At 44.6% G+C, this 11,394-nt stretch overlaps 1 protein-coding gene across 2 annotated transcripts; it reads left to right on the top strand.

Annotated features, from left to right (window-relative positions):
• Positions 736-7,764, top strand: IL1B (interleukin 1 beta). 2 transcript variants are annotated; one of them, NM_000576.3, is made up of 7 exons: positions 736-807; positions 1,271-1,332; positions 1,898-1,949; positions 3,940-4,141; positions 4,689-4,853; positions 6,093-6,223; positions 6,942-7,764. In NM_000576.3, the coding sequence occupies exons 2-7, from the start codon at positions 1,286-1,288 to the stop codon at positions 7,152-7,154; spliced, it is 810 nt and encodes a 269-aa protein (NP_000567.1). In that variant the 5' UTR covers positions 736-807; positions 1,271-1,285; the 3' UTR covers positions 7,155-7,764. The 2 variants fall into 2 exon arrangements, with proteins under 2 accessions (NP_000567.1, XP_047300131.1); XM_047444175.1 differs by lacking the exons at positions 736-807; positions 1,271-1,332; positions 1,898-1,949; positions 3,940-4,141 and adding an exon at positions 4,174-4,398.

Here is an 11,394-nt window from a genome sequence, read left to right as displayed (position 1 = left end):
TTCACCAAAAAATCATTTTAGGCAGAGCTCATCTGGCATTGATCTGGTTCATCCATGAGATTGGCTAGGGTAACAGCACCTGGTCTTGCAGGGTTGTGTGAGCTTATCTCCAGGGTTGCCCCAACTCCGTCAGGAGCCTGAACCCTGCATACCGTATGTTCTCTGCCCCAGCCAAGAAAGGTCAATTTTCTCCTCAGAGGCTCCTGCAATTGACAGAGAGCTCCTGAGGCAGAGAACAGCACCCAAGGTAGAGACCCACACCCTCAATACAGACAGGGAGGGCTATTGGCCCTTCATTGTACCCATTTATCCATCTGTAAGTGGGAAGATTCCTAAACTTAAGTACAAAGAAGTGAATGAAGAAAAGTATGTGCATGTATAAATCTGTGTGTCTTCCACTTTGTCCCACATATACTAAATTTAAACATTCTTCTAACGTGGGAAAATCCAGTATTTTAATGTGGACATCAACTGCACAACGATTGTCAGGAAAACAATGCATATTTGCATGGTGATACATTTGCAAAATGTGTCATAGTTTGCTACTCCTTGCCCTTCCATGAACCAGAGAATTATCTCAGTTTATTAGTCCCCTCCCCTAAGAAGCTTCCACCAATACTCTTTTCCCCTTTCCTTTAACTTGATTGTGAAATCAGGTATTCAACAGAGAAATTTCTCAGCCTCCTACTTCTGCTTTTGAAAGCCATAAAAACAGCGAGGGAGAAACTGGCAGATACCAAACCTCTTCGAGGCACAAGGCACAACAGGCTGCTCTGGGATTCTCTTCAGCCAATCTTCATTGCTCAAGTATGACTTTAATCTTCCTTACAACTAGGTGCTAAGGGAGTCTCTCTGTCTCTCTGCCTCTTTGTGTGTATGCATATTCTCTCTCTCTCTCTCTTTCTTTCTCTGTCTCTCCCTCTCCTTCCCTCTCTGCCTCCCTCTCTCAGCTTTTTGCAAAAATGCCAGGTGTAATATAATGCTTATGACTCGGGAAATATTCTGGGAATGGATACTGCTTATCTAACAGCTGACACCCTAAAGGTTAGTGTCAAAGCCTCTGCTCCAGCTCTCCTAGCCAATACATTGCTAGTTGGGGTTTGGTTTAGCAAATGCTTTTCTCTAGACCCAAAGGACTTCTCTTTCACACATTCATTCATTTACTCAGAGATCATTTCTTTGCATGACTGCCATGCACTGGATGCTGAGAGAAATCACACATGAACGTAGCCGTCATGGGGAAGTCACTCATTTTCTCCTTTTTACACAGGTGTCTGAAGCAGCCATGGCAGAAGTACCTGAGCTCGCCAGTGAAATGATGGCTTATTACAGGTCAGTGGAGACGCTGAGACCAGTAACATGAGCAGGTCTCCTCTTTCAAGAGTAGAGTGTTATCTGTGCTTGGAGACCAGATTTTTCCCCTAAATTGCCTCTTTCAGTGGCAAACAGGGTGCCAAGTAAATCTGATTTAAAGACTACTTTCCCATTACAAGTCCCTCCAGCCTTGGGACCTGGAGGCTATCCAGATGTGTTGTTGCAAGGGCTTCCTGCAGAGGCAAATGGGGAGAAAAGACTCCAAGCCCACAATACAAGGAATCCCTTTGCAAAGTGTGGCTTGGAGGGAGAGGGAGAGCTCAGATTTTAGCTGACTCTGCTGGGCTAGAGGTTAGGCCTCAAGATCCAACAGGGAGCACCCAGGGTGCCCACCTGCCAGGCCTAGAATCTGCCTTCTGGACTGTTCTGCGCATATCACTGTGAAACTTGCCAGGTGTTTCAGGCAGCTTTGAGAGGCAGGCTGTTTGCAGTTTCTTATGAACAGTCAAGTCTTGTACACAGGGAAGGAAAAATAAACCTGTTTAGAAGACATAATTGAGACATGTCCCTGTTTTTATTACAGTGGCAATGAGGATGACTTGTTCTTTGAAGCTGATGGCCCTAAACAGATGAAGGTAAGACTATGGGTTTAACTCCCAACCCAAGGAAGGGCTCTAACACAGGGAAAGCTCAAAGAAGGGAGTTCTGGGCCACTTTGATGCCATGGTATTTTGTTTTAGAAAGACTTTAACCTCTTCCAGTGAGACACAGGCTGCACCACTTGCTGACCTGGCCACTTGGTCATCATATCACCACAGTCACTCACTAACGTTGGTGGTGGTGGCCACACTTGGTGGTGACAGGGGAGGAGTAGTGATAATGTTTCCCATTTCATAGTAGGAAGACAACCAAGTCTTCAACATAAATTTGATTATCCTTTTAAGAGATGGATTCAGCCTATGCCAATCACTTGAGTTAAACTCTGAAACCAAGAGATGATCTTGAGAACTAACATATGTCTACCCCTTTTGAGTAGAATAGTTTTTTGCTACCTGGGGTGAAGCTTATAACAACAAGACATAGATGATATAAACAAAAAGATGAATTGAGACTTGAAAGAAAACCATTCACTTGCTGTTTGACCTTGACAAGTCATTTTACCCGCTTTGGACCTCATCTGAAAAATAAAGGGCTGAGCTGGATGATCTCTGAGATTCCAGCATCCTGCAACCTCCAGTTCTGAAATATTTTCAGTTGTAGCTAAGGGCATTTGGGCAGCAAATGGTCATTTTTCAGACTCATCCTTACAAAGAGCCATGTTATATTCCTGCTGTCCCTTCTGTTTTATATGATGCTCAGTAGCCTTCCTAGGTGGCCCAGCCATCAGCCTAGCTAGGTCAGTTGTGCAGGTTGGGAGGCAGCCACTTTTCTCTGGCTTTATTTTATTCCAGTTTGTGATAGCCTCCCCTAGCCTCATAATCCAGTCCTCAATCTTGTTAAAAACATATTTCTTTAGAAGTTTTAAGACTGGCATAACTTGTTGGCTGCAGCTGTGGGAGGAGCCCATTGGCTTGTCTGCCTGGCCTTTGCCCCCATTGCCTCTTCCAGCAGCTTGGCTCTGCTCCAGGCAGGAAATTCTCTCCTGCTCAACTTTCTTTTGTGCACTTACAGGTCTCTTTAACTGTCTTTCAAGCCTTTGAACCATTATCATGCCTTAAGGCAACCTCAGTGAAGCCTTAATACGGAGCTTCTCTGAATAAGAGGAAAGTGGTAACATTTCACAAAAAGTACTCTCACAGGATTTGCAGAATGCCTATGAGACAGTGTTATGAAAAAGGAAAAAAAAGAACAGTGTAGAAAAATTGAATACTTGCTGAGTGAGCATAGGTGAATGGAAAATGTTATGGTCATCTGCATGAAAAAGCAAATCATAGTGTGACAGCATTAGGGATACAAAAAGATATAGAGAAGGTATACATGTATGGTGTAGGTGGGGCATGTACAAAAAAGATGAACAAAGTAGAAATGGGATTTATTCTAAAAGAATAGCCTGTAAGGTGTCAGAAAGCCCACATTCTAGTCTTGAGTCTGCCTCTAACCTGCTGTGTGCCCTTGAGTACACACTTAACCTCCTTGAGCTTCAGAGAGGGATAATCTTTTTATTTTATTTTATTTTATTTTGTTTTGTTTTGTTTTGTTTTGTTTTATGAGACAGAGTCTCACTCTGTTGCCCAGGCTGGAGTGCAGTGGTACAATCTTGGCTTACTGCATCCTCCACCTCCTGAGTTCAAGCGATTCTCCTTCCTCAGTCTCCTGAATAGCTAGGATTACAGGTGCACCCCACCACACCCAGCTAATTTTTGTATTTTTAGTAGAGAAGGGGTTTCGCCATGTTGGCCAGGCTGGTTTTGAAGTCCTGACCTAAATGATTCATCCACCTCGGCTTCCCAAAGTGCTGGGATTACAGGCATGAGCCACCACGCCTGGCCCAGAGAGGGATGATCTTTAGAAGCTCGGGATTCTTTCAAGCCCTTTCCTCCTCTCTGAGCTTTCTACTCTCTGATGTCAAAGCATGGTTCCTGGCAGGACCACCTCACCAGGCTCCCTCCCTCGCTCTCTCCGCAGTGCTCCTTCCAGGACCTGGACCTCTGCCCTCTGGATGGCGGCATCCAGCTACGAATCTCCGACCACCACTACAGCAAGGGCTTCAGGCAGGCCGCGTCAGTTGTTGTGGCCATGGACAAGCTGAGGAAGATGCTGGTTCCCTGCCCACAGACCTTCCAGGAGAATGACCTGAGCACCTTCTTTCCCTTCATCTTTGAAGAAGGTAGTTAGCCAAGAGCAGGCAGTAGATCTCCACTTGTGTCCTCTTGGAAGTCATCAAGCCCCAGCCAACTCAATTCCCCCAGAGCCAAAGCCCTTTAAAGGTAGAAGGCCCAGCGGGGAGACAAAACAAAGAAGGCTGGAAACCAAAGCAATCATCTCTTTAGTGGAAACTATTCTTAAAGAAGATCTTGATGGCTACTGACATTTGCAACTCCCTCACTCTTTCTCAGGGGCCTTTCACTTACATTGTCACCAGAGGTTCGTAACCTCCCTGTGGGCTAGTGTTATGACCATCACCATTTTACCTAAGTAGCTCTGTTGCTCGGCCACAGTGAGCAGTAATAGACCTGAAGCTGGAACCCATGTCTAATAGTGTCAGGTCCAGTGTTCTTAGCCACCCCACTCCCAGCTTCATCCCTACTGGTGTTGTCATCAGACTTTGACCGTATATGCTCAGGTGTCCTCCAAGAAATCAAATTTTGCCGCCTCGCCTCACGAGGCCTGCCCTTCTGATTTTATACCTAAACAACATGTGCTCCACATTTCAGAACCTATCTTCTTCGACACATGGGATAACGAGGCTTATGTGCACGATGCACCTGTACGATCACTGAACTGCACGCTCCGGGACTCACAGCAAAAAAGCTTGGTGATGTCTGGTCCATATGAACTGAAAGCTCTCCACCTCCAGGGACAGGATATGGAGCAACAAGGTAAATGGAAACATCCTGGTTTCCCTGCCTGGCCTCCTGGCAGCTTGCTAATTCTCCATGTTTTAAACAAAGTAGAAAGTTAATTTAAGGCAAATGATCAACACAAGTGAAAAAAAATATTAAAAAGGAATATACAAACTTTGGTCCTAGAAATGGCACATTTGATTGCACTGGCCAGTGCATTTGTTAACAGGAGTGTGACCCTGAGAAATTAGACGGCTCAAGCACTCCCAGGACCATGTCCACCCAAGTCTCTTGGGCATAGTGCAATGTCAATTCTTCCACAATATGGGGTCATTTGATGGACATGGCCTAACTGCCTGTGGGTTCTCTCTTCCTGTTGTTGAGGCTGAAACAAGAGTGCTGGAGCGATAATGTGTCCATCCCCCTCCCCAGTCTTCCCCCCTTGCCCCAACATCCGTCCCACCCAATGCCAGGTGGTTCCTTGTAGGGAAATTTTACCGCCCAGCAGGAACTTATATCTCTCCGCTGTAACGGGCAAAAGTTTCAAGTGCGGTGAACCCATCATTAGCTGTGGTGATCTGCCTGGCATCGTGCCACAGTAGCCAAAGCCTCTGCACAGGAGTGTGGGCAACTAAGGCTGCTGACTTTGAAGGACAGCCTCACTCAGGGGGAAGCTATTTGCTCTCAGCCAGGCCAAGAAAATCCTGTTTCTTTGGAATCGGGTAGTAAGAGTGATCCCAGGGCCTCCAATTGACACTGCTGTGACTGAGGAAGATCAAAATGAGTGTCTCTCTTTGGAGCCACTTTCCCAGCTCAGCCTCTCCTCTCCCAGTTTCTTCCCATGGGCTACTCTCTGTTCCTGAAACAGTTCTGGTGCCTGATTTCTGGCAGAAGTACAGCTTCACCTCTTTCCTTTCCTTCCACATTGATCAAGTTGTTCCGCTCCTGTGGATGGGCACATTGCCAGCCAGTGACACAATGGCTTCCTTCCTTCCTTCCTTCAGCATTTAAAATGTAGACCCTCTTTCATTCTCCGTTCCTACTGCTATGAGGCTCTGAGAAACCCTCAGGCCTTTGAGGGGAAACCCTAAATCAACAAAATGACCCTGCTATTGTCTGTGAGAAGTCAAGTTATCCTGTGTCTTAGGCCAAGGAACCTCACTGTGGGTTCCCACAGAGGCTACCAAATTACATGTATCCTACTCATGGGGCCTAGGGGTTGGGGTGACCCTGCACTGCTGTGTCCCTAACCACAAGACCCCCTTCTTTCTTCAGTGGTGTTCTCCATGTCCTTTGTACAAGGAGAAGAAAGTAATGACAAAATACCTGTGGCCTTGGGCCTCAAGGAAAAGAATCTGTACCTGTCCTGCGTGTTGAAAGATGATAAGCCCACTCTACAGCTGGAGGTAAGTGAATGCTATGGAATGAAGCCCTTCTCAGCCTCCTGCTACCACTTATTCCCAGACAACCACCTTCTCCCCGCCCCCATCCCTAGGAAAAGCTGGGAACAGGTCTATTTGACAATTTTGCATTAATGTAAATAAATTTAACATAATTTTTAACTGCGTGCAACCTTCAATCCTGCTGCAGAAAATTAAATCATTTTGCCGATGTTATTATGTCCTACCATAGTTACAACCCCAACAGATTATATATTGTTAGGGCTGCTCTCATTTGATAGACACCTTGGGAAATAGATGACTTAAAGGGTCCCATTATCATGTCCACTCCACTCCCAAAATTACCACCACTATCACCTCCAGCTTTCTCAGCAAAAGCTTCATTTCCAAGTTGATGTCATTCTAGGACCATAAGGAAAAATACAATAAAAAGCCCCTGGAAACTAGGTACTTCAAGAAGCTCTAGCTTAATTTTCACCCCCCCAAAAAAAAAAAATTCTCACCTACATTATGCTCCTCAGCATTTGGCACTAAGTTTTAGAAAAGAAGAAGGGCTCTTTTAATAATCACACGGAAAGTTGGGGGCCCAGTTACAACTCAGGAGTCTGGCTCCTGATCATGTGACCTGCTCGTCAGTTTCCTTTCTGGCCAACCCAAAGAACATCTTTCCCATAGCATCTTTGTCCCTTGCCCCACAAAAATTCTTCTTTCTCTTTCGCTGCAGAGTGTAGATCCCAAAAATTACCCAAAGAAGAAGATGGAAAAGCGATTTGTCTTCAACAAGATAGAAATCAATAACAAGCTGGAATTTGAGTCTGCCCAGTTCCCCAACTGGTACATCAGCACCTCTCAAGCAGAAAACATGCCCGTCTTCCTGGGAGGGACCAAAGGCGGCCAGGATATAACTGACTTCACCATGCAATTTGTGTCTTCCTAAAGAGAGCTGTACCCAGAGAGTCCTGTGCTGAATGTGGACTCAATCCCTAGGGCTGGCAGAAAGGGAACAGAAAGGTTTTTGAGTACGGCTATAGCCTGGACTTTCCTGTTGTCTACACCAATGCCCAACTGCCTGCCTTAGGGTAGTGCTAAGAGGATCTCCTGTCCATCAGCCAGGACAGTCAGCTCTCTCCTTTCAGGGCCAATCCCCAGCCCTTTTGTTGAGCCAGGCCTCTCTCACCTCTCCTACTCACTTAAAGCCCGCCTGACAGAAACCACGGCCACATTTGGTTCTAAGAAACCCTCTGTCATTCGCTCCCACATTCTGATGAGCAACCGCTTCCCTATTTATTTATTTATTTGTTTGTTTGTTTTATTCATTGGTCTAATTTATTCAAAGGGGGCAAGAAGTAGCAGTGTCTGTAAAAGAGCCTAGTTTTTAATAGCTATGGAATCAATTCAATTTGGACTGGTGTGCTCTCTTTAAATCAAGTCCTTTAATTAAGACTGAAAATATATAAGCTCAGATTATTTAAATGGGAATATTTATAAATGAGCAAATATCATACTGTTCAATGGTTCTGAAATAAACTTCACTGAAGAAAAAAAAAGGGTCTTTCCTGATCATTGACTTGTCTTGGATTTGACACTGAACAGTAAAGACAAACAGGGCTGTGAGAGTTCTTGGGGGACTAAAGCCCACTCCTCATTGCTGAGTGCTGCAAAGTACCTAGAAATATCCTTGGCCACCGAAGACTATCCTCCTCACCCATCCCCTTTATTTCTGTTGTTCAACAGAAGGATATTCAGTGCACATTTGGAACAGGATCAGCTGAAGCACTGCAGGGAGTCAGGACTGGTAGTAACAGCTACCAGTGATTTATCTATCAATGCACCAAACATCTGTTGAGCAAGCGCTATGTACTAGGAGCTGGGAGTACAGAGATGAGAACAGTCACAAGTCCCTCCTCAGATAGGAGAGGCAGCTAGTTATAAGCAGAAACAAGGTAACATGACAAGTAGAGTAAGATAAAGAACAAGAGGAGTAGCCAGGAAGGAGGGAGGAGAACGACATAAGAATCAAGCCTAAAGGGATAAACAGAAGATTTCCACACATGGGCTGGGCATGGTGGCTTACGCCTGTAATCCCAGCACTTTGGGTGGCAGGGGCAGAAAGATCGCTTGAGCCCAGGAGTTCAAGACCAGCCTGGGCAACATAGTGAGACTCCCATCTCTACAAAAAATAAATAAATAAATAAAACAATCAGCCAGGCATGCTGGCATGCACCTGTAGTCCTAGCTACTTGGGAAGCTGACACTGGAGGATTGCTTGAGCCCAGAAGTTCAAGACTGCAGTGAGCTGTGATCGCACCATTGCACTCCAGCCTGGGTGACAGAGTGAGACCCTGTCTCTAAAAAATGTTCCCAGATAGAAAAGAAAAGAAAAAGCCCTCAGGTAGAGGAACCAGTGTGAACAAGAGCATGGGTGTATAAGAATGAATGATGCAAAAAGTACACTTTCAGAATTGCGGGAATCACCAGAAGCAAAGTCAAAGCGCAAAACAAGCCAGAGGAAAAGTAGTTGTAACTCACACCCCAGATAAAGAGATAACTTGTTTCACATGTAAAGAACTGCCTCAAAACATTTGAAAAAAAAGAACAAAAATCCAGCAAAACAAGAGGCAAGGGATCTTAACAGTCTGTTCACAGAAAAGAAAATACTATTTGATCTTGGGCAGAGTAAAATGATGCTTAACATTGTAATAAGAAAGTCAAATTAAAAGCACTTTGAGATACTAGTATTTTCCCATCAGATTGACAAAAATCAAAAGTTTAACAACAGACCTTGTTGGTCAAACTGTCGGGAAATCCCCACTGTTAAATATTACGCGTGGGACTATAAATTGATATGACCCTTATAGAACAAAATTTGCTAACTATGAAAATCACAAGTGCACTTCCCCTTTGATCCAGCAATTTCACTCCTGGAGATTTATCCCACAGATGGACATAACCCATGTGAAATGGAAAATGATCAAAATTATTCATTGCACATCATTTGTAATAGGAAAAATTGGAAGTAACCCAAGTGTCTATCAACAAGAGACTGCCTAAATGAAGTAAAGGACATAGAATACTAGGCAGCTATAGAAAAGAATGAGAAAGCACTCTGGTATTGTTTGGTTCTGTGTCCCAGCCCAAATCTCATGTCAAATTGTAATCCCCGATGTTGGAGGTGGGGCCTGGTGTGGGGTGATTGGATCATGGGGGTGGAGTTCTTATGAATGGTTTAGCACTATCCCTTTGGTGCTGTTCTCGTGACAGAGTTCCCACAAGATCTGGTTGTTTAAAAGTATGTGGCATCCTTTCTCTCTCTCTCTCTCTCTCTCAGTCCTGCTCCTGCCATATAAGACATCCACTCCCGCTTTGTCTTCTGCATGAGTAAAAGCTTCCTAAGGCCTCCCCAGAAGCAGATGCTGCCATGCTTCCTGTGGAACAGCCTGCGAAGCTGTGAGCCAATTAAACCTCTTTTCTTTATAAATTATGCAGTCTCAGGTATTTCCTTATAGCAATGCAAGGACTGACTAATACATGCTGTCTGCACGAATATGAAATCCTCTCCAAAACATGCTGATAGCTGAAAAAGAAGAAAATGCAGACCGTATTTATGATATGCTAACTCTGATGTAACAAAAGGGAGGGGAAGAAGGGCAATACATTCCACTGTGCTTGTATTTGATTTTTTTTTTTGATTCTGGAAGATACATAAGAAATGAATAAAGTAGTTGTCAGAGGCTGAGGAATAAGATATATAGGGACAGGTGTGGGAGCAAGACACTTTTATGAACACATTTTACACAGTTTGGGTTTTTTTTTTTTGGAGACAAGGTCTCGCTGTCACCCAGGCTGGAGAGCAGTGGTACAGTCATGGCTCACTGCAGCCTTAAACTCCCAGGCTCAAGCAATCCTCTTACCTCAGCCTCCTGGGTAGCTGGGAATACAAACATATGGCACTATATTCATCCACTCTCACACTGCTATAAAGAATGACCTGAGACTGGGTAATTTATGAAGAAAAGAGGTCTAACTGATTCACAGTTCTACAGGCTGTACAGGAAGCATAGCTGGGAGGCTTCAGGAAACTTACAATCATGGCGGAAGGCAAAGGGGAAACACACACGTCTTACTATGGCGGAGCAGGAGAGTGAGAGAGTGAAGGGGGAGGTGCTACACACTTTCAAATAACCAGGTCTTGTGAGAACTCACTCACTATCATGAGAACAGCAAGGGAGAACCCACCCCCATGATCCAATCACCTCCCACCAGGACCCTCCCTCAACATTGAGGATTAAAATTCAACATGAGGTTTGAGTTGGGTCACAGAGCCAAACCATATCAGCCACCATGCCCAACTAATTTTTGTTTTTAAATTTTTGTAGATACAGGGTCTCACTATGTTACCCAGGCTGGTCTTGAACTCCTGGGCTGAAGTGATCCTCCCGCCTCGGCCTCCTAAATTGCTAGGATTACAGGCATAAGCAGCCATGCCTGGCCTACAGTTTGATTTTTGAATCATGTAAATATATTATTCAGAAATAAAATAATAATTTTTAAATATTTTATCCCAAAAAAATGTATCTGACTTCTTGTGGAAGGACAACTGTTGAGTTGAGGGAGCTGCCAGTCTTCGGCAGCTCACTCTCAATACCCTCCTTCTTTGAAGTTCTCCAAGCTAGGGCAGAGGCTGGCAAAGCCCCTCTCCTAGCTCTGTCTGCTTCATAACTGCAGTGCAAAGGATGACATGGCTGTCGGAGCAGACACCCAAGTGGCAACCATTCTATAAGATGGAACAGAGCTGGTGGCAGGAAAGCAGGTGGTCTGGGAAGAAAGCAGAGGTGCCTGTGAGCTTGAGCTGTCATTTGACCCTCTATCCTTGATTTAGTGACACAATTCTGCCAGCTCTCTCAGATACAAAAGGGAAGACATGCCAGGAAGAATGAAACTGTGAAGGCATCTCACCTTGTGAGGAAGCCAGATTCCAAATCATCTCTGTATGGGTAAGTGGGTATGGCCATTTTGGAGAGAAAATTGGTAGCGTCTAGTTTTTTTGGGTTTTTTAAACATGTTCTTTGGCTCAGCAATTCCACTACTTGCCATCTTCCGTAAAGAAATTTATGGACATCTACTGATGCGTTGTTTATAAATACTTAATGAAATCAACTAGAAACAACCTACATATC

The sequence above is a fragment of the Homo sapiens genome, chromosome 2 (assembly GCF_000001405.40).
Source record: "Homo sapiens chromosome 2, GRCh38.p14 Primary Assembly".
Taxonomy (NCBI): domain Eukaryota; kingdom Metazoa; phylum Chordata; class Mammalia; order Primates; family Hominidae; genus Homo; species Homo sapiens.
The sequence above is the reverse complement of the archived record's forward strand: the minus strand, read 5'-3'. Positions and strand labels throughout refer to the sequence as shown.